Source organism: Homo sapiens, chromosome 12, assembly GCF_000001405.40.
Source record: "Homo sapiens chromosome 12, GRCh38.p14 Primary Assembly".
Taxonomy (NCBI): Eukaryota; Metazoa; Chordata; class Mammalia; order Primates; family Hominidae; genus Homo; species Homo sapiens.
Window position 1 is genome coordinate 72,502,290 of NC_000012.12, and position 23,643 is coordinate 72,525,932.

Below are 23,643 nucleotides of genomic sequence, written 5' to 3' on the forward strand. Positions count from 1 at the left end.
TTCAGTAAATTTTTTCCTAAGTGTACAACTTAGGAAATCTCCCAAATTTTGATATGTTGAAGTTTCATTTTCATTCACTTTAAGATACTTGCTAATTATCCATTTCATTTGTTAATTGCCTCGTGTCTTATTCAGAGTGTATTATTTAGATTACAAATATTAGAAGATTTTTCCAGAAAATTTTCTGTTATTCATTTCTTATTTAATTTTATTGTGGTCAGTGAATATACTCTGTATGTCTTGAATCTTCCTAGATTTATTATGGTTTATTTTATGGCCCATAAGTTGATATGTGTTGGTAAATGTACTGTATCCACTTCAAAAGAATATGTATTCCACTAGTGTTAGCTAGAGTGTTCTATAAATGCCAGTTAAGTGAGGTTGGTTGATAGAGTTGTTCGAGTGTTCTGTATCCTTATTGATTTTCTGTCCACTTATTCATCATGCTTTCTTGATGGGCCTTCATTGTGTGGATTCACTCACGTAGTACCAAATCAAACATCTAAAACTGTGGAGAAAAATAGTGACCCAGTTATCTGCTGGCATATCCGAAAAATAATTTTCAAATGTGAATATGGAGAAATGAGGGTTAAAACATTGAGGCTGAAATTTCAGGGACTTCATTTTCATAATCTCAGCATCAGGCCTTTATGTAAATTCAGTTTCTTAGCCTTGTTCTTTGATTTGGCTTCACTCAGTTTCTTCCTATAAGAAAACTAGTATGTGCATAATGAGTAATAACCAATTACTTTGTAAGTGGAACAAAGGTAAACTATGTTGGGTTTTGTAGGTTAAACCACATCATTCTGGGATGTATGACAGGTAATATAGATGATTCTGGAGACATAAATAATAACTGCTAACATTTATTACATGGATACTCTGTACTAGTCACCGAACTAAGATTTTTACATTTATTATATAATTTAATTCTTATAAGCATCTGATGGGGTTGTTATGATCATAATCCTCACTTTAAAGGTAAGTATGTTGAGTTATGGTAAATTCAAGGATATGTTTCCCAGAAAATCAGGTTCCAGAGCCAGTATTCTTAATTATTTTCATGTTTGATTAACAAGTTTGGCTGGAACATTTATTCCAAAATCATTTGATAAGCCTGTGCTTATGTTCTAGGCACTGTGTGCTGAGTAGAAGAGATATAACAATCAATAATACACAAAGGAGAGAAAACATATAAATAAACCAGTGCAGTAACATATGAGTGTTATCCAGCAATATTTCCATATTAAATGTTGACACCTACCTGAAGTCATCTTAAGCCATTTATTCAATCTTGTTGACTAAATAATGGGTAAATTTGATATGTAGTATTAACTTTCAGAATAGTTGAATTACGTATTTACAGTATCATCAGAAATCTACCTTTCTTCAGTTTATTGAATCTCTTTCTCTATCTGACTTAATTTCTAGATGATCCTTAAGATATGCTAAGACTCATCTCATACGGGCCTCAATCTTGTGACCCTAATGAGCTCAGAGAAGGAGTAAATTGACTCCCATCCAATAGAAGCTATATCTGTTTCCCCAAAGGGCTATGATTTGTTTTGATTAGGAAATAGATTATTACTGGCCAATCCTTGTGTCCACAGGGATGGGGTATTCTGACTGGTCAGTGAAGGTCATGAGCTCATCCTCTGTGATGTGAGACAAAAGTCCCAGAGTGGGTAGGCCCCCTGGGATCACTCAAAGTAGAGGAGGAGCAATTTCTGAAAGAAAATGATCAGTAGAAAAAAGTAATGGATGCCACCTCAGAATCTAAGGAGTTATGACAGAAATATATACAAGATACAGTCACGAGACAGGGGAGTAGAGGGGAACTGTAAAAAAACAAGAAAATCATTCTTTAGAGGAAGCTCAGAAAAGAAAACTGGTGATTAAGTGGAACATCAAAGAGTTAAACATGATCATAGCAGAATGTGAATTCTGGGTAGCAGATAGGCTGGAAGAATAAGCTGGATATGAACTTGGAAGACATTTCCTTTCTCACTAAGAAAATTTTTTTTTTTTTTTTTTGAGACAGTCTCGCTCTGTCGCTCAGGCTGGAGTGCAGTGGCATGATCTCAGCTCACTGTAACCTCTGCCTCCCGGGTTCAAGTGATTCTTCTGCCTCAGCCTCCTGAGCAGCTGGGACTATGGGTGCCCACCACCACGACTGGCTAATTCTTGTATTTTTAGTAGAGACGAGGTTTCACCATATTGGCCAGGCTGGTCTTGAACTCCTGACCTCATGATCTGCCTGCCTCAGCCTCCCAAAGTGCTGGGATTACAGGCGTGAGCCACTGCTCCCAGACAGAAATTTGTATTTTATCCAACAGGTCAGATAGAACCAAGAAGAGTTTAAAGCAGAGGAGTCAGATAATTAAAATTGCATTCCTAAAAGAATATTCCTGTAGATGTAGAGATGGAGTTAATATTGATAGATCTGGAAAATTCAGGAAAGATTGTAGAGACTGGAGTTGTATAATGTATCACTTATATTTTGAAATGTTGTATGTAACACAATAATTTCTTGCCACTGCTCTTCTGTGTTCTTCTCCCTAAAGATCTCTGTTACTAGTCAACATTAACCTCTGCCAACAGTCAACCCCTCATTGCATCAGTGTTTTGCTAGCTTATCATCTCTTGTAATTATTTCCTTAATAATTATTCTGATTATTCCCAGTTCTGTTTTTTGTTATTCTCCCTGAATAATAATTATAATACACTTTAAATAGCTTTTTATAAAGAAATGTATTATAACGGGACAGAAGATTATAAAAAAATAAAGGTTAGGAACCAATAGACCAGCTACTAATTTGGGATTGAATTTAAGAGCTGACTGCCTTTGAAGAAATACTGAGTAATGTTCAATATGGATAGTCCCAAGACCATTATTAAAAGAATAAAAAACTCCTAAAATTGCAAGCATTTTTTAGAGTGGGAAGAGAAAAACATGAAAACTACTCTATTTAACAAATTAGATCTGGTGAAATAACAAGTTTCCCATTTTAATAGTAGATTGAAAATGCTTGTATTCTTAAAGTGTAATGGAAGCAGGAAAATACTGTCCATAGACAGGAAGGACTGGAATAGATGGATTGAGACAGTCTCTTTGTTCTAAAAGCACAAAGGAAACAAGAATCAGTGACCCAATGACCTAGATGATGAAAGTGAGTGAATGCTCATTAAATTTACATATGATGCCAAGGTGGAGAGGGTTGCTACAAGCTTGGAAGAGAAGAACAGGGTTCAAAATAACTTCAATTTTAAAGGGGATCCTTTACAAGCAGGAACACTTTTTCAGCAATTCTTATGTCGTGGTTAGTATATCTGTACACCAAACAAAATTACATAGAATAAAAGGTAAGAGAATTAGCAAGTGAAAAAATCTTCAAGGGATCATTGGGGACATAAATTTTTTAAAAAGTGATTGTGGTAGAAATTTAACTTGCTGCGCTTTGCCAATATATTCCACACCTTATATTTGAAAATCCTTTGACCAACAGAAGTCAACATGTGAAATTTCTATCATCTCTAGAAATGAATAGGAAAGGCCAATCATCCATTTGTATCTATCACCCCTTGTAATACCAGGCTCCCCATCCACAACATCATGTCAGTCAGATGATGATTAATGCACAGAGAGAGCACTATTAACGCTACACACAGTATGCCTTATTTCTGCAAGGGGGAAAAAAGATGATGCCTTTCTTCAACAATGCAACCCAGCCGGGCATGATGGCTCATGCCTGTAATCCCAGCACTTTGAGAGGCTGAGATGGAAGGACTGCTTGAGCCCAGGAGTTCAACTCAAGTCTGGTGAACATAGTGAGACTCTGTCTCTACAAAACATTCAAACATTTTTTTTTAAATTAGCTAGGCATCATGGTGCATGTCTCTAGTTCCAGCTATTCAGAAAGTTGATGGAGGAGGAATGCTTGGGTCTGGGAGTTAGAGGCTACAGTGAGCTATAATAGATCTCCTGCACTCCAGCCTGGACAAGAGAGCAAAATCCTATTTCAAACAAACAAACAAACAAACAAACAAAACAAGAAAAGAATGCAACCCAATAGAAGACATAAAACACATGAAATAAAAATAGTGATTATCCTATGAGTACTACAAAAGCATGTCTATCATTTAATGATCACTTACTATGTACAATGTATTTTGTGAAATGTTTTGCATGTATTATCCCATTTATTCCTGACAGAAAACTTGGCATGCAGGCATTTTTAACTCATTTTACTGACGAGAAAACTGACACTTGGGTACTTAAGTGATTGCCACAGCATCAGATATTTAGCAAATAAACATTTCAGGATTTGATGTCAGATATATCTAAATTTGAATCCTGAGCTCTTATCTACAAAGTCTTTCACAAATAAATATATTTCAAGGCAAGTTATGATATGGACCATCTCAGTGGATGGCAACTCCAAGCTCCCAGGCTACCCTTGATCCTGCCATCCAGAGACAAGGATATCTTGTCTCTGCTATCAGAGTATTTCCAGAATCTAACCTCTTCTCATCCCTGTCACTGTTGCCACCAGATAAGGTTTGAATTTGTGTCCTCAACCAAATATCATGTCAAATTATAATGCCCATTGTTGGAGAAGGGGCCTGGTGGGAGGTGATTGGATCATGGGGGCAGATTTCCCCCTTGCTGTTCTCCTGATAGTGAGTGAGTTCTCATGAGATCTGGCTGTTAAATATGTATACCACCTCACCCTACTCTCTTCTTCCTCTTGCTCAAGCCTTGTAAGATATGCCTCCTTCCTCTTTGCCTTCCACTGTGTTTGTAAGTTTCCTGAGGCCTCCCAACCCATGCTTCCTGTACAGCCTGCAAAACTGTGAGCCAATTAAACCTCTTTTCTTTATGAACTACACAGTCTTAGGTAATTCTTTATAGCAATGTGAGAACTAATACAGAAAATTGGCACCAGGAGTGGGGCATTGCTGTAAAGATACCTGAAAATATGGAAGCAACTTTGGAACTGGATAATGGGCAGAGGTTGAAACAGTTTGGAGGGCTCAGAAGAAGACAGGAAGACGTGGGAAAGTTTGGAACTCACTAGAGACTTTTTGAATGATTTTGACCAAAATGCTGATATTGATATGAACAGAGATGGCCAGGCTGATGAGTTCTCAGATGGAGATGGGAACTTATTTTGAACTTTGAACTTGAGCGTGATGGTTTATGGTATCTGGCGGAAGAAATTTCTAAGCAACAAGTCATTCAAGATGTAGCCTGGCTGTTTCTAATAGTGTGTTCTCATATGTGTGAGATGATCTGAAATTGTATGAAACTGGAACTTAAATTTAAAAGGGAAGCAGAGTGTAAAAGTTTGGAAAATTCATAGCCTGGCCATGTGATAGAAAAGAAAAACCCATTTTCGGGGAGGAATTCAAGTGGGTTGTAGAAATGTGCATAAGAAGAGCTGAATGTCAATAGCCAAGACAATGGGGAAAAATGCCTTGAAGGCATTTTAGAGATCTTTTAGCAGCTCCTCCCATCATAGGCCTGGAGACCTAGGAGGGAAGCATGGTTTCATGGGCCATGCCCATAGCCCTGCTGCTCTGTGCAGTCTTGGGACATGGCACCCTGCATTGTGGCTGCCCTAGCTCCAGCAGTGGCTAAAAGGGGCCAAGGTATAGCTTGGGTCATAGCTTCAGAGGGTGTAAGCCATAACTCTTGGTGGCTTCCATGTGGTGTTAAGCCTGTGGGTGCAAAGAGGACAAGAGTTGAGGCTTGGGAGCCTACACCTAGATTTCAGAGGATGTGTGAAAATGCCTGGGTGTCCAGGTGGAAATCTGCTGCAGGGGCAGAGCCCTCATAGAGAATCTCTACTAGGGCAGTGTGGAGGGGAAATGTGGGGTTAGAGCCCCCACACAGAATCCCCTCTGGGATATTGCCAAGTGGGGCTGTGAGAAGAGGGCTACCATCCTCCAGACCCTAGAATTATAGATCCATTAACAGCTTGCAGCGTGTACCTAGAAAGCCACAAACACTCAATGCCAGACCTTGAGAGCAGCCATGGGAACTGAGCCCCCAAAGCTACAGGGGCAGAGCTGCCTAAGGCCTTGGGAACCTAACCCTTGGATTAGTGTGAGCTGGATGTAAGACATGGAGTCAAAGGAGGATATTCTGGAGTTTTAAGATTTAATCACTGCCCTGCTGGGTTTCAGACTTACATGGGGCCTGTAGTCCCTTTGTTTCAGCCAATTTCTCCCTTTTGGAATGGGAGTATTTACCCAATGCCTGTATCCCCATTCTATCTTGGAAGTAACTAACTTGTTTGGATTTTATAGGCTTATAGGTGGAAGAGGTTTGCCTTATCTCAGATGAGACTTTGGATTGTGGACTTTTGAGTTAATGCTGGAATGAGTTAAGACTTTAGGGGACTGCTGGGAAAGCATGATTGTATTTGCGATGGGAGAAGGACATGAAATCTCATTTTAAATTGCAATCCCCAGTGTTGGAGGAGGGCCTGGTGGAAGGTGATTGAATCATGGGGGTGGATTTCCCCCTTGCTGTTCTCATGATAGTGAATGAGTTCTCATGAGATCTGGCTGTTTAAATGTGTGTAGCACCTCCCCCTGCTCTTTTCTTCCTTCTGCTCCAGCCATGTAAGATGTGCCTCCTTCCTCTTTGCCTTCTGTTATGATTGTAAGTTTCCTGAGGCCTCCACAGCCATGCTTCCTGTACAGCCTATGGAACTGTGAGCCAATTAAACCTCTTTTCTTTAAATTTTCTAAATTACCCAGGTTCAGGTAGTTCTTTATAGCAATGCGAGAATAGACTAATATACCACCCCAGTCTGAATCAGCACCATTTTGCCAGAATCATTTTCTGCAACATCTCTCTGCTTTTAATCCTGTTCTCCTACAGCCTATCTTTATCAAGCATTCAGAGTGATGTTTATAAAACCTGTGTCATATTGTGCCAGTTCTTTGCTGAAAATTCCATAATAACCACCGCACCCCCCCGCACACACAAAATGATAATAAAAGACACAGTCTTGACCCACAAATCCCTTCCTGATCTCTACTCATTCTATTCTCCCCAGGTACTTATAGACCCCTGACTCTTATTTTATTTCTTATCTATCTGAATTCTTCTCTATTACTCTCCCTAAACTCATGGTGCTACTGTTCTACCAGCTCCCTTGTTTTCCCTGAGCTCTACCAAACTCCTTCCCACATGAGGGCCTTTGAATTGGCCTTTCTCGTTGTAGGAAAAATGTTACTCCACATAGTGTCATGGTCCCAGCTTGCTCTCCTTGAAACCTTTACTTAAATGTCACCTTCTCAAGAAGACCTCCCATTTAAAATGGGAATTGACACCTTCAGTCTTTTTCCCACTCATTTTTCTTAATCTGATCCTATTATGTTTACTATATTGTTTGACTTTCCACTTTCCCCCATTGAATGTGAGCTTCATAAAGGCAGAGATCTATGTCTAGGTTTATCACTAATGTATCTCCAATACCTATTATACTGCCTGTGTGCAGTAAGCACTCTAATAAGTATTTGTTGAGTTAAATTAAAGTAAATGTCAGAAAAACAATATAAACAAAACATTCTGGTGTTTCAGAGGGAAAGATCCCATCTGTTTATAGGAATTAGGAAAAAGAGTTGGCTCTTGAAATAGGATTAAGGAGTTTCCAAGGTAATTCCATATGAATTCCAGAGGGGAAAGAAAGATTGTGTTGCCCAGTCATTTAGTTTTCTAATGGGTTTCATCACATGTGACCTGACCCCTCAGCCCTGGACCTCATGGGACCCCCTTCTGTGAGCTCAGCTACTCTCCTGCTGTCTCTTCCCTCTCCTGCCTCAGGCACAATTAGCCTCCTGTTCTGCAAGTCTTCCTGGCTCTTATTTTTCTAAACAGGTCCTTCTTAGACTTTGCTTTCCCTACTCACAGCGAATCAGTTACATATATACTAACAAATGAATATAATAGATCACTATTTTGTGATACTCTTTAGATATTCTACAGTATCTGGTATATTACATTTATTGATTAAATATAACACCTGTGGTCATTTCTGTAAAATGGTTGGACAATAGGCTTTTAGTGTGCTATATGATGGCAATAATAGGCGATAATAGTATCAGCTACTTTTTGCCACTGGACATCCACTTATTTAATCTCCCACACTTGTAACATATAAGGTATAAATTATTATCTTCAATTTAGTAAATAGAGGCCTAGGAAGTTTAATGATGTGCTCCAGCTCCTAAGTGTCAGACATGGGATTCACATCTTATTGTTTCTAACTCATGCTTTTCATTCTGCCAGGATTCTTGTCTATTGTGCCATTGTTTAAATAGAAAATATGATTTGGGTTTTCATTCCATGAATGAAAAAAAATGTCTTATTTAGAAGTAAGTAACATACTAGCATGCATATAAAAAATAAAGGTTGTAAAATCTGAGAAGTATAAGCACTGGTTATGATCATCTCATAAGGAAAATGTGAACAAGCTTGGGACTGAAAAAATTAGGCAAAGGAGAAAAAGCCAGAAAAAGAAGGGAGAAAGAGAGATTGATTTTGGAACATTTGGAGATAAAGCCTATAGAAAAGGCTAAAGAACTTACATATGTCCACCCTGGAGGATAGAGGGCTAAGAGGTGACTTAATAATTGGCTCTAATATGTGAATGGTCGTTATGGGAAGGCTGCTCACCATTTCTCTGTCAACATCAAGGTCAGAGTAAGATAGATGGACTTAAATTACAGGAAGAAATTTCAGTTAATATAAGAAAGAACTTCTTGACATAAAAGGCAATTAAACATTTTAATATGAAGTACTTAGGCTTGTGAAATCTTCATTCTTTGATATTCTTTAGAAATAAAATTTAAAATGTGCTCCCAAATTAATAAATTAAATTGGAGAACTACTGAAAAAATTCCTCCTGAATATTAACTTCACGTTACATAATAGTCAGATAATATAAAATTTACAGCTTATCAGAAATTAATTTTGTATTTGCATATTTATGTTTGTATCATTAAATTTCTTTTTGTTATAAATATAGAAGTGTGAGTGGTTTAGAAAAGAACTACTAGCTTCTTAGGTAAACAGAAAAAATTTAAAAATAATTCCCATCTGTCTCTGAGTGGTCTACTGATACCTATTAAACATCATCAAAATAATTTCTAGATATATTTTTGTTATTCCTTTTCTTTGTTACCAGACTTTGCTTTTGAAGCTAAATCAACATTATACTGGACCAGCAGCAATTTTAAGTCATTCTGTAAAGAAAATACCTATTTGCCTTCATAAAGAAAATGTACATGGTGGGAGGAGATAGTTTTATTGATATTTTTGTGATAAATGCCTTTACCACTTACTGGTAAATTATTAACTTGTGCATTTTGCTGATGGAGGCAAGTTTTCCTTTGCACACATATTTCACCGATTCATCATCATTTAATGGTTTCTTTTTATTTTTTCCTGTGCGAACCTTAACACTTAAAACAGCTAGTTTTCATACTAGAAACTTGCACTTCTCCCCATTATATGTCCATCTCTGATTTGGCATTTACTTGGTGAGACTGAAAGAAAAAGTCTGTATTTAATAAAAATAGGTAGCAGGTTATTGAATAGAGTAAGGAATAGATTAATCCTATTCAAAGGATTCTTGTTATCCTCTCTTGTCCCTCTTTGTGTCACATTGTATTGTTGTTAACTAATGGTTTAGATAGCTACTTTTGAATTCCTCTGTTGCACACAGTTTCTGTCTTTTTTACTTTGCTGAAAAGCTTAAGAAGGTGCAATGTTGGTTTTGACTCTATTCTTCTGCTTTCTTACGCTGGCTTTGTGAGAGCCAAAGTGGTGATCTCATGATATGAGAAGCTTACGGGTCAGAGCCATGTAACCCTTAGCTTGCAAAACTTGGCTGTAGTGAGATTCTGCTTTCACGGCTTTCAGAAATACTTCTACAGCTACAGTTGTTCTTGTCTTCTGCTTATGCAAAAAGCTTAGTTCTAATGACTTTTGCAGTGGGTTTATTTATGCTAGACTTCATCAGTAGTCATAATGAAAAATAAAAAGTTAGTATTTCAGTTAGTATAAATGGAATATATAATATATAATTATTATTATATAATTATAACTATATAATATATATTATATAATATGTTATAATTATATAATTATAATATATTATATAGTTATAATTATATAATAATAATATATTATATAGTTATAATTATATTATATATAATATATATGATTATATATATTCATATATAATCATATATAATATAATATATAATCATATAATAATCATATATAATCATATATATAATTATATATAATCATATATATCATATTATCATATATAATCATATATAATATATAATATAAATGGTAATATAGATTTTTTATAGATTTTTCAGATTGACAGAATTCTATAGTACTTAGAAAGGAATAAATTAAGATGTAAAGGATAAATAAGCAGGCAACTATAATCAAGGGTTGACATTTTGATAAATGAGAAGTATACAGGAAGGAAAAGGAGACTAGGAATAAAAATTCCTATTTACAGAAAGAACACTTGGAGAAAATTCAGAATAAACATATTTAGAATATAAGTAGTGTTTGTACATCTAACAATATTGAAGGAGGTTGAACTGAATTGATCTTTCCTATGGAATAATTGTGAATGAATTGTGTTTTGGCATTTGAGGAATGACTTTTAATCAGCATAACCACACACCAATTGTTAATCAACCATATATGGTATGTTAATGAAATATAAACATCTTCAAAAGCCCTATACAGTTACCAATGTTACACATAATGTTCAGAAGCATTAGTACACCGTTGTTTTTACCATTGAGGTCACCTTTTATCACTATTTCCTTTTCGTGTGGACCTAAATATTATCTCAGTTCATTATAAAAATTGTATTTTTGAAATATTTAAGAATTCAGGGCTTTATTAATTAAAGACATATATAAACCTCAATCAGAGTTTCAGCTTCAAACAGATTAAACTATGTTGCTCCACAGGGCAGATACAATTCTAGTCGAACAACAAAGACACCCTTTCTCTTTGGCCCAAGTATTATTTTCTCAGGTAAATATGTTATTTCCTTGGAAATGATGAAATTGTTTCTTTGGACATACTCTCCCAGATGTTTTTATGGATTCTTTCGTGGGAGGCTAAGGACCATTTGAGGACCTACTGAGAAAATTATCTAGAGACTACATGTTGTCTATATTTATTGTCATTCATGCTGTTGCATATTTCCTAGGAGAACCAAAATCAAGTCGTTGATTTCTGTGCTTTTAAAAGTAGAATGTCTTTCAGCTTTTTCTGAGTTAATTTTGAATCAGTATTAGGAGGCTTAACTGTGATTTCATACAACATACTGTTACCTTGAAGACACAGAGATTTTTTTTTAAAAGTACAAAATCTGGCTTTTGTCTTAAAGGCATTTTCCCAAGCAGGAGAGTTTAAGCACGATTTTTAAGGTTTCACAGAGGTAAGAAAATAAGACAAAGCCGAAGGTGAGAAGTTTAATGGGAGGCCTCCCATAAAGCCAGGACCTTAAAGAGTTACACCTTAGCACACAGATGAACTAGAAATAAACCTATCCCCATCCTCAGGGGACTACAAAGAAATTACCTGTTCCAAACTTTGGCAGCAAGTAAAAACGGAAAGAAAATTTCTCCTGAAAATTTGCAACTACAAGCAACCTTTGACTGGCATCGGATCTCAGATGAAAACCATCTTGGTACACTGTGAACCTCAGGCCAGGATTTAATTTAAAATGGCTGGTCCTGGACTAGAAGGTATCCCCAGACACCATACAGACACTAAAACATATCCTTTCTAGAAAAGCCCAACTTCATATCTCATCTCAAAAGATTTCCACAGATAAATCTCAAGGAAAAAAACCAATTTACAGTCAAAAATCACCAGTCACATGAAGAAACAAGTTTCCACGAATATGAGACAGCAGAAACAATTAAGAGAAGAATCATTTGTGCATATGACTAAGACACTGGATGCATGACTTAGACCATAAAATAATATATTAATAAATTTGAGGAAATAAAAAGAGACATTATAAGCAAAATGTAAGCAGACATAAAGAACAGTGAGAATTCTTAGAAATGAAAATGAAATAAGAATATAGTAAATATGACAGATAAGTTCATCACAGATTAAAAAAGAGCTAAAGAGAGAATTATAACCTAAATGGTAGAACTGAAGATACTGTGTATTCAAGAGTTATGCAGGAGACATAAAGATGTATAGAAAAGGCAGTGAGAATTGGTAACACATGGATTCAAGCCTTAACTACACTTACTTTTTCTTTTTTTTTTTAATTTATTATTATTTTACTTTAAGTTTCAGGGTACATGTGCACAATGTGCAGGTTAGTTACACATGTATACATGTGCCATGCTGGTGCGCTGCACCCACTAAATCGTCATCTAGCATTAGGTATATCTCCTAATGCTATCCCTCCCCCCTCCCCCCACCCCAGAACAGTCCCCAGAGTGTGATGTTCCCCTTCCTGTGTCCATGTGTTCTCATTGTTCAATTCCCACCTATGAGTGAGAATATGTGGTGTTTGGTTTTTTGTTCTTGCGATAGTTTACTGAGAATGATGATTTCCAATTTCATCCATGTCCCTACAAAGGACATGAACTCATCATTTTCTATGGCTGCATAGTATTCCATGGTGTATATGTGCCACATTTTCTTAATCCAGTCTATCATTGTTGGATATTTGGGTTGGTTCCAAGTCTTTGCTATTGTGAATAGTGCTGCAATAAACATACGTGTGCATGTGTCTTTATAGCAGCATGATTTATAGTCCTTTGGGTATATACCCAGTAATGGGATGGCTGGGTCAAATGGTATTTCTAGTTCTAGATCCCTGAGGAATTGCCACACTGACTTCCACAATGGTTGAACTAGTTTACAGTCCCACCAACAGTGTAAAAGTGTTCCTATTTCTCCACATCCTCTCCAGCACCTGTTGTTTCCTGACTTTTTAATGATTGCCATTCTAACTGGTGTGAGATGGTATCTCATTGTGGTTTTGATTTGCATTTCTCTGATGGCCAGTGATGGTGAGCATTTTTTCATGTGTTTTTTGGCTGCATAAATGTCTTCTTTTGAGAAGTGTCTGTTCATGTCCTTTGCTCACTTTTTGATGGGGATGTCTGTTTGTTTTTTTTGTAAATTTGTTTGACTTCATTGTAGATTCTAGATATTAGCCCTTTGTCAGATGAGTAGGTTGCGAAAATTTTCTCCCATGTTGTAGGTTGTCTGTTCACTCTGATTGGTAGTTTCTTTTGCTGTGCAGAAGCTCTTTAGTTTAATTAGATCCCATTTGTCAATTTTGGCTTTTGTTGCCATTGCTTTTGGTGTTTTAGACATGAAGTCCTTGCCCATGCCTATGTCCTAAATGGTAATGCCTAGGTTTTCTTCTAGGGTTTTTATGGTTTTAGGTCTAATGTTTAAGTGTTTAATCCATCTTGAATTGATTTTTGTATAAGGTGTAAGGAAGGGATCCAGTTTCAGCTTTCTACATATGGCTAGCCAGTTTTCCCAGCACCATTTATTAAATAGGGAATCCTTTCCCCATTGCTTGTTTTTCTCAGGTTTGTCAAAGATCAGATAGTTGTAGATATGTGGCGCTATTTCTGAGGGCTCTGTTCTGTTCCATTGATCTATATCTCTGTTTTGGTACCAGTACCATGCTGTTTTGGTTACTGTAGCCTTGTGTAGTATAGTTTGAAGTCAGGTAGCGTGATGCCTCCAGCTTTGTTCTTTTGGCTTAGGATTAACTTGGCGATGCGGGCTCTTTTTTGGTTCCATATGAACTTTAAAGTAGTTTTTTCCAATTCTGTGAAGAAAGTCATTGGTAGCTTGATGGGGATGGCATTGAATCTGTAAATTACCTTGGGCAGTATGGCCATATTCATGGTATTGATTCTTCCTACCCATGAGCATGGAATGTTCTTCCATTTGTTTGTATCCTCTTTTATTTCATTGAGCAGTGGTTTATAGTTCTTCTTGAAGAGGTCCTTCACATCCCTTGTAAGTTCAATTCCTAGGTATTTTATTCTCTTTGAAGCAATTGTGAATGGGAATTCACTCATGATTTGGCTCTCTGTTTGTCTGTTATTGGTGTATAAGAATGCTTGTGATTTTTGTACATTGATTTTGTATCCTGAGACTTTGCTGAAGTTGCTTATCAGCTTAAGGAGACTTTGGGCTGAGACAATGGGGTTTTCTAGATATACAATCATGTTGTCTGCAAACAGGGATAATTTGACTTCCTCTTTTCCTAATTGAATACCCTTTATTTCCTTCTCCTGCCTAATTGCCCTGGCCAGAACTTCCAACACTATGTTGAATAGGAGTGGTGAGAGAGGGCATCCCTGTCTTGTGCCAGTTTTCAAAGGGAATGCTTCCAGTTTTTGCCCATTCAGTATGATATTGGCTGTGGGTCTGTCATAGATAGCTCTTATTATTTTGAGATACGTCCCATCAATACCTAATTTATTGAGAGTTTTTAGCATGAAGCGTTGTTGAATTTTGTCAAAGGCCTTTTCTGCATCTATTGAGATAATCATGTGGTTTTTGTCTTTGGTTCTGTTTATATGCGGATTACATTTATTGATTTGCATATATTGAACCAGCCTTGCATCCCAGGGATGAAGCCCACTTGATCATGGTGGATAAGCTTTTTGATGTGCTGCTGGATTCAGTTTGCCAGTATTTTATTGAGTATTTTGGCATCAATGTTCATCAAGGATATTGGTCTAAAATTCTCTTTTTTGGTTGTGTCTCTGCCAGGCTTTGGTATCAGGATGATGCTGGCCTCATAAAATGAGTTAGGGAGGATTCCCTCTTTTTCTATTGATTGGAATAGTTTCAGAAGGAATGGTACCAGTTCCTCCTTGTACCTCTGGTAGAATTTGGCTGTGAATCCATCTGGTCCTGGACTCTTTTTGGTTGGTAAGCTATTGATTATTGCCACAATTTCAGCTCCTGTTATTGGTCTATTCAGAGATTCAACTTCTTCCTGGTTTAGTCTTGGGAGAGTGCATGTGTCGAGGAATTTATCCATTTCTTCTAGATTTTCTAGTTTATTTGCATAGAGGTGTTTGTAGTATTCTCTGATGGTAGTTTGTATTTCTGTGGGATCGGTGGTGATATCCCCTTTATCATTTTTTATTGCGTCTGTTTGATTCTTCTCTCTTTTTTTCTTTATTAGTCTTGCTAGCGGTCTATCAGTTTTGTTGATCCTTTCAAAAAACCAGCTCCTGGATTCATTAATTTTTTGAAGGGTTTTTTGTGTCTCTATGTCCTTCAGTTCTGCTCTGATTTTAGTTATTTCTTGCCTTCTGCTAGCTTTTGAATGTGTTTGCTGTTGCTTTTCTAGTTCTTTTAATTGTGATGTTAGGGTGTCAATTTTGGATCTTTCCTGCTTTCTCTTGTGGGCATTTAGTGCTATAAATTTCCCTCTACACACTGCTTTGAATGCGTCCCAGAGATTCTGGTATGTTGTGTCTTTGTTCTCATTGGTTTCAAAGAACATCTTTATTTCTGCCTTCATTTCATTATGTACCCAGTTGTCATTCAGGAGCAGGTTGTTCAGTTTCCATGTAATTGAGCGGTTTTGAGTGAGATTCTTAATCCTGAGTTCTAGTTTGATTGCACTGTGGTCTGAGAGATAGTTTGTTATAATTTCTGTTCTTTTACGTTTGCTGAGGAGAGCTTTACTTCCAAGTATGTGGTCAATTTTAGAATAGGTGTGGTGTGGTGCTGAAAAAAATGTATATTCTGTTGATTTGGGGTGGAGAGTACTGTAGATGTCTATTAGGTCTGCTTGGTGCAGAGCTGAGTTCAATTCCTGGGTATCCTTGTTGACTTTCTGTCTCATTGATCTGTCTAATGTTGACAGTGGGGTGTTAAAGTCTCCCATTATTAATGTGTGGGAGTCTAAGTCTCTTTGTAGGTCACTCAGGACTTGCTTTATGAATCTGGGTGCTCCTGTATTGGGTGCATATATATTTAGGATAGTTAGCTCTTATTGTTGAATTGATTCCTTTACCATTATGTAATGGCGTTCTTTGTCTCTTTTGATCTTTGTTGGTTTAAAGTCTGTTTTATCAGAGACTAGGATTGCAACCCCTGCCTTTTTTAGTTTTCCATTTGCTTGGTAGATCTTCCTCCATCCTTTTATTTTGAGCCTGTGTGTGTCTCTGCATGTGAGATGGGTTTCCTGAATACAGCACACTGATGGGTCTTGACTCTTTATCCAATTTCCCAGTCTGTGTCTTTTAATTGGAGCATTTAGTCCATTTACATTTAAAGTTAATATTGTTATGTGTGAATTTGATCCTGTCATTATGATGTTAGCTGGTTATTTTGCTCGTTAGTTGATGCAGTTTCTTCCTAGCCTCGATGGTCTTTACATTTTGGCATGATTTTGCAGCGGCTGGTACTGGTCGTTCCTTTCCATGTTTAGTGCTTCCTTCAGGAGCTCTTTTAGGGCAGGCCTGGTGGTGACAGAATCTCTCAGCATTTGCTTGTCTGTAAAGTATTTTATTTCTCCTTCACTTATGAAGCTTAGTTTGGCTGGATATGAAATTCTGGGTTGAAAATTCTTTTCTTTAAGAATGTTGAATATTGGCCCCCACTCTCTTCTGGCTGGTAGAGTTTCTGCCGAGAGATCTGCTGTTAGTCTGATGGGCTTCCCTTTGTGGGTAACCCAACCTTTCCCTCTGGCTGCCCTTAACATTTTTTCCTTCATTTCAACTTTGGTGAATCTGACAATTATGTGTCTTGGAGTTGCTCTTCTCGAGGAGTATCTTTGTGGCGTTCTCTGTATTTCCTGAATCTGAATGTTGGCCTGCCTTGCTAGGTTGGGGAAGTTCTCCTGGATAATATCCTGCAGAGTGTTTTCCAACTTGGTTCCATTCTCCCCGTCACTTTCAGGTCACCAATCAGATGTAGATTTGGTCTTTTCACATAGTCCCATATTTCTTGGCGGCTTTACTCATTTCTTTTTATTCTTTTTTCTCTAAACTTCCTTTCTCACTTCGTTTCATTCATTTCATCTTCCATCGCTGAACCCTTTCTTCCAGTTGATCGCATCGGCTCCTGAGGCTTCTGCATTCTTCACGTAGTTCTCGAGCCTTGGTTTTCAGCTCCATCAGCTCCTTTAAGCACTTCTGTGTATTGGTTATTCTAGTTATACATTCTTCTAAACTTTTTTCAAAGTTTTAAACTTCTTTGCCTTTGGTTTGAATGTCCTCCAGTAGCTCGGAGTAATTTGATCATCTGAAGCCTTCCTCTCTCAGCTCGTCAAAGTCATTCTCCGTCCAGCTTTATTCCATTGCTGGTGAGGAACTGCGTTCCTTTGGAGGAGGAGAGGTGCTCTGCTTTTTAGAGTTTCCAGTTTTTCTGTTCTGTTTTTTCCCCATCTTTGTGGTTTTATCTACTTTTGGTCTTTGATGATGGTGATGTACAGATGGGTTTTTGGTGTGGATGTCCTTTCTGTTTGTTAGTTTTCCTTCTAACAGACAGGACCCTCAGCTGCAGGTCTGTTGGAGTACCTGGCCCTGTGAGGTGTCAGTCTGCTGCTAGGGGGTGCCTCCCAGTGAGGCTGTTTGGGGGTCAGGGGTCAGGGACCCACTTCAGGAGGCAGTCTGCCCGTTCTCAGATGTCCAGCTGTGTGCTGGGAGAACCACTGCTCTCTTCAAAGCTGTCAGACAGGGACACTTAAGTCTGCAGAGGTTACTGCTGTCTTTTTGTTTGTCTGTGCCCTGCCCCCAGAGGTGGAGCCTACAGAGGCAGGCAGGCCTCCTTGAGCTGTGGTGGGCTCCACCCAGTTCCAGCTTCCCTGCTGCTTTGTTTACCTAAGCAAGCCTGGGCAATGGCGGGCGCCCCTCCCCCAGTCTCGCTGCTGCCTTGCAGTTTGATCTCAGACTGCTGTGCTAGCAATCAGCGAGACTCCGTGGGCGTAAGACCCTCCGAGCCAGGTGCGGGATATAATCTCGTGGTGCGCCATTTTTTAAGCCCGTCGGAAAAGCGCAGTATTCGGGTGGGAGTGACCTGATTTTCCAGGTGCCGACCGTCACGCCTTTCTTTGACTAGGAAAGGGAACTCCCTGACCCTTTGCGCTTCCTGAGTGAGGCAATGCCTCGCCCTGCTTCTGCTTGCGCACGGTGCGCGCACCCACTGACCTGCGCCCACTCTCTGGCACTCCCTAGTGAGATGAACCCGGTACCTCAGATGGAAATGCAGAAATCACCTGGCTTCTGTGTTGCTCACGCTGGGAGCTGTAGACTGGAGCTGTTCCTATTCGGCCATCTTCTTCACTTACTTTTTCAATCCTTTGTTTCTTTACCAAATTATAGCTTCTTAGCATCAGAAAATTTTTGCCTGAAACAGTGACATCTTTTTTAGAAATGGAGCTCTGGGTTCGATCTAAGTCTTAAAGTAATAAGGTTCACGCATCAACATAGCACAATTTTATCATCTATATTCTCTTTTATTACCGTATTAAAAGCTTGAATGAGATAAAACTGGTATTAACTTAAAATTATACTTTTTTCACATTAACTGTTATTTATTCAGTGTTAGCTATGTTCCCAGAGTTTTACCAGATATCATGCAATTTAAACTTTAAGCTGAAAGATAGTTAAATTATTTGGCCCAGACTCATAATAGCTCGTGAGTAGCAGAACCAACATTTCAGCTCAACCTTCCTGAATCCAAATTCTGCCCTGTGTGTGATTGCCTGATCATATAGTCAAGTAGGTATTGACTTTCACAGCAGAGAATACTATACATGTATCCAAATAATTTTTCCTTTCATCTGACCATTTATTTCTTCCCTTTTTGGAAATAACTTTCAGATGCAATTTCATTCTTTCCTACAAAACCAGTCTCATGATTTCATAATTCCCAAAGAGTCTACCTTGATGAGATACTTTAATTTGCATTGCCTCCCTTCTCTTCAATCCCTATTTTACCCTATTTAGTATTTCCTGGCTTACCCTCTGAATTTGAGCCAACAGCATAAGGAGCTCAGAAAAGCGCTATGCCAAGGCTATCTTGGAGCTCAGAGACCCTGAGTGGAGATGAGCATGGTGTAGAGGGGAGAGTGTGAGTCGCAGCAATTCTGAGAAACATGGTTTGGCTTCTACAGAGTAGAGCACATCCAAGCAAACCAACTTGTGTCGTTTAGTTGTGTGCTGCCTCTCTGCTGTCATTTTACAATAGGATGCAGTTAGCTCAGTGCCATAAAAATATCTGGCTTAAAGTAGAGAATTTTTGGTATGTATTCCCCTGGTAAGTACTATAAGCCCAAGTAAAGCATGACCAACCAGCTGAATATCTGTGTTTTGCTTACATATTCCCCAAACTGTTTTCCAGCTCCACGATTTTAAGATGAAATGTGCAAACATTTATTGCCACATAATTTTCCTTCTGGAAGGGGGTCTGTCACAGCAGGAACCTTGCTACTAAATTGGAGCCGTTGAAACTATTTCAGTAGTCAAATTTGTTAAGAGTAAAAGCAAGAGTTTTAAGTGCTGTCTAATGCCTAAAAATGTTTTTCCAGTTTGAAATGAGTGTGGTGGTAGGGTTAGGGAAAAGTTAGCATGTTTTGAGATAGTTACGTCTGAAATAATAACCTCAGTTAACATGTATATAATACTATGTACCAGATACTTTTGTGTATGTTTTTTACGTATATTAAGTCATTTAATTCTTACAGCAGTCACATGCTGTATTACTACTCTTTCCATCTCCATTTTACAGATGAGGACACTGAGGCAGTAACTTGCCCAGCATTGCAGTTAGTAAATGGTGGAGTCAGGATTCAAACACTGGCCATTCTGTCTGTGCTCTTAGTCACCTACACCAGACTGCTTAACCTTTGATTTCTTTTTATGTTTATAGAGCACCTTACCCATAAAACATGAAGAGACACTCATTTCTTTTTCAGTAGAGTTATTATATTTTGTAATTATTTACATCTATCTGTATGTCCTTTTAAATTAAAGTTTTTAGAAACATCCTAGTTATCACCTAGTGCAGTGACTGGCAGATAGTGAGCAACAACTAATACTTATAGTTCAGGATTTACAATGAATTTAACAGTCATTAATCCTGCTCTCCAAGCCCACAGAAGCTTTAAAGTAGTCTTGCAAATTGAATTTCTAATTGCTTCAGATTACTAACAGCAATGAGTTTTGATTTTTTTTATTGTTAAACATCTAGCTTGGAAAGAAAAATAAACATGGCTCTGTGCTATGAAGCAATATCATACTTTATTAATAAGTGTTCCTCTTAACTTTTTAAGAGTTTAGTTTGAACTAGTCACATCTCTTCTGAAAAATACTGGAGAATAAAACTTCTTTAGTTTGCTCTAAATTACTTTCCTCAAGCACCAAGTGATAATCCCTTTTTCTGGTGTCCTGTGATGCCTTCTATAAACCCGATGGAGAATTTAGGAACATGCAGAGCATGCCCCTCACCTCTGAAATGAAGATCATGGAGAGTAATGAACATACCTGCCTCTCCACATCCCCTGATGCATTTGTCAGCTCACAGTCTGACGGACCATTGATCTGCCCCTTTATGGCAGTTTTGTTCCTAATTCCACTTTTGTTTACTTTAAGAGCTAAATCTTTCACCATTTTCCACTTCTGCTTGAGAAAACATTTTTATAGCTTTGAGACCAAATGTTTTTTATCACCTTATTTTAATGTCTCTTATCAGTGACCCTGTTGTAGGCAGAAGCCATGATGTTGCTGGTGGATTACATGAGAAACTTGTCGCAAGTAAAATAGAACACCGTTTCTTTTTCCTGAAGAATAAGGATATAAGAGTAACTTGCTTTTTTTTTCTTTCTTACATTTGCTCTGTGTTAAATCATAAGAAAGTTAAGTTACTTTTAATTGTTTTAAAATGAAAAGGTGCTAGATTACCAGGTATTAGGGTGTTTATTTCTTCTAGGCTCCTGTTAGTAGCAACTGTCAATATTTCTTCTTTTGGTTAATAGGAAAAGAATGGAAGAAAGCTAGAAGTAGAAACTTGCTGCCACATACAAAAAGCTAAAGTTTGGAGAGGCCATAACTGGACCTGTGATGTGGATGTTTGCTTAGAGAGTGTTAAATGCTTACTTATAGGTTCCTAGGGTAAAGGGCATTGTTTATTTTTACATACATATCTTGAGAAATTTTATTTTATAAAGGTCGTGCTTTCCAAAATGTAATTTGTGGAATGCCAGTTCTACAATATGTTTTATAAAAATTATTTTCTTACCTTTAACTCAGATATTGAAACTTCAGATTGCATTGATTTAGCTTAATGGCATTACACAAAACTGCACCTTCAATGAAAACCTTAAACAATGAATTTCTTACATGGGCTTGCTGAATACACTCTAATAAGACTGTATTTGCTTGTCTTGACATAAAAACTTGGGCTGATTCTGCTCGTGATACACCACTGTCAGAAGAGTTTGCTTTGTGATAAATGGCTTGTTTTAGTTCCCTGGACGATATGTTTTTGAGTTTTGAAATTCTCCAGGGACAGAATACATCTGTGCTTTGCCACTCTGAAAACAAAAAGCAGAAGCCGGAAGTGAAAGCTGTCCTGTTTTACAAGCTGGGATGGTGATGATTATTTACCTCACTGATGGACTTCTAGATTTTATCAAGTCCTCAATACTAACCTGGTCTCCATTATCCTCTGCTGTGCACAGCATCCACACTGAAGTTGTGACTTCTGCCTTTTTGGAAGAAAAGCAAAGAAAGAAATCATCCATTTCTCAATGATATACATGAAGAGGCTAATTTATTTTTTTGAGAACAGCTGAAGGTGGTTTGATGAAACTTTAATCAGCGCATTTTATCCTCTCCGTAAACTCTCCCTGAAGTCAGAATAGCAGAAAGGGAGATAGAGAAAACCTTACTCAAGCAATTATTTCCCTTATCCTGCAAATATTGGTAGAGTAAAATAATTTTCTTAGCTTCCAGAAAATCGTTCATATCATGTATGAGTAAATTCAACAGTGAAGATTACAAAGTGTCTTTCAGTTACCAAGCCCATGCCCTAGACAAGATTTTTTTTCTTGCTTCTCTACATATATATGAGTGATAAAACAAGGTGCAGATCTCAATTGGTCCATTTCCTTTGCAGATTAATTGGTATGATGGAAACATCAGTTATGCTGGTATTCACTTGTAATACATATTTTATTTATTATGGATCTAGCAGGATGGTAAATTCAGTTTTATAGCACAGTGGAGTTTGAGAAGCATGGCTTTATTCAATATTGTTCTTGAACTCAGTGATGGCCCATCTGTGTAAATAATCTCATCAGCCTCTTATGCGAGCCCATCCTTGAAGATTTCCTCATATGGATGCTTAATGAGAAAGTATACTATGCTTTTGTCCTTGTCTGTCGTGTCAGAACACATGAGATGTTCACCACAACTGCTAAATAAAGCTTCTACTATAAGAGGAGGCCCCGCAACACTTTGTCTGAAAGAGGAAGCAGCTTATGTATCCTGGTCTTCAAGGAAAACAGACAATCCTGGGCACACATGAAGGGCACAGTTATTTATGGTTATGTCTAGTGAATCCTTTTCATGTGGAAAGTATGCCTGAAATTCCAGAGAACTGACCTCCAAGACTCGTGTCCTTGACTTAAATTTCCTTAATTTTCCATGGAATCTTTTAACACCTGTTCTCAATGATGCATTTATCCATCCAAGACAAAGCTTATACTAAGACATATTTGAATCTGGAGTTTCTGAATTAGATGAACAAGCTATAGATGTTTACACAAATTACCCTGTGAACAAAAGTGTACTCTTATTTACTTCAATTTAATGGTATTTTAAAAAGTCACTTGAACATATTCGTGGTTAGGAAAAATGGTTTTGAAAAGCTAGAATCTCCATTTAAAATAAGAATAAAATAACTTTGTCCTTTAGATATGTGCATTGTTTTTAAATTTTAAAATATTCTATTTTGAAGTCAAAACCCAGTTTTAATTTTTTCCCAAGGTTTATCATTTCTAAAAATATCAAGTCTTTTAAAACTAAATAATATATTATGATGAGATATTTAATAGTAATTGGATTATTAATCTAATTAAAAATCAAATTAAAAGATTGTGCCTGGTATATCCTAGGATGACATTATTGAAATTTATACTTAAATTTGTTTGCCTTTACCATATATAATCACAAGAAGCCTTGAAATACTATACTAGACTTCTCATGTTTTGTGTGTGGTTTGTGTGTGTGTGTGTGTGTGTGTGTGTGTGTGTGAGAGAGAGAGAGAGAGAGAGAAAGTTGGTGATTTTTCGGCTATTCACTTCTTTTCAGTATCAGTGAGCTATGGTAGGAACCAGTTTGGGAGCAGCTGTTTGATTGTGGAAAGTCTTTACAGAGAAAGTTATTCTACTTTCTTGCAGATCAATACTTAAATTTTTAATACAAAAAGAAAATATAGTTTATTCAACTACTTTTTGAAAAACAATCTACATATACCATTAGTGATTAATGCCAAATAGTAAGGCTTTCATGGTTTAAGGAACACTTTCTGCCTTTCGTATTTCTGTTTCA

General features: G+C 37.4%; 1 protein-coding gene across 5 annotated transcripts in view, besides 2 other annotated features; it reads left to right on the forward strand.

The window, feature by feature from the left end:
- TRHDE (thyrotropin releasing hormone degrading enzyme) overlaps nucleotides 1-23,643 on the forward strand; it is a 583,493-nt gene that overhangs the window by 415,024 nt on the left and 144,826 nt on the right. The window lies entirely within an intron of this gene.
- Nucleotides 17,495-18,077: an enhancer, noted in NCBI's record as "NANOG-H3K27ac-H3K4me1 hESC enhancer chr12:72913564-72914146 (GRCh37/hg19 assembly coordinates)". NCBI's record gives its function as "activates a minimal SCP1, AML or CMV promoter by ChIP-STARR-seq in primed H9 embryonic stem cells {active_cell/tissue: H9 hESC(primed)}" and the evidence as "EXISTENCE:reporter gene assay evidence [ECO:0000049][PMID:30033119]".
- Nucleotides 18,078-18,659: an enhancer, noted in NCBI's record as "NANOG-H3K27ac-H3K4me1 hESC enhancer chr12:72914147-72914728 (GRCh37/hg19 assembly coordinates)". NCBI's record gives its function as "activates a minimal SCP1, AML or CMV promoter by ChIP-STARR-seq in primed H9 embryonic stem cells {active_cell/tissue: H9 hESC(primed)}" and the evidence as "EXISTENCE:reporter gene assay evidence [ECO:0000049][PMID:30033119]".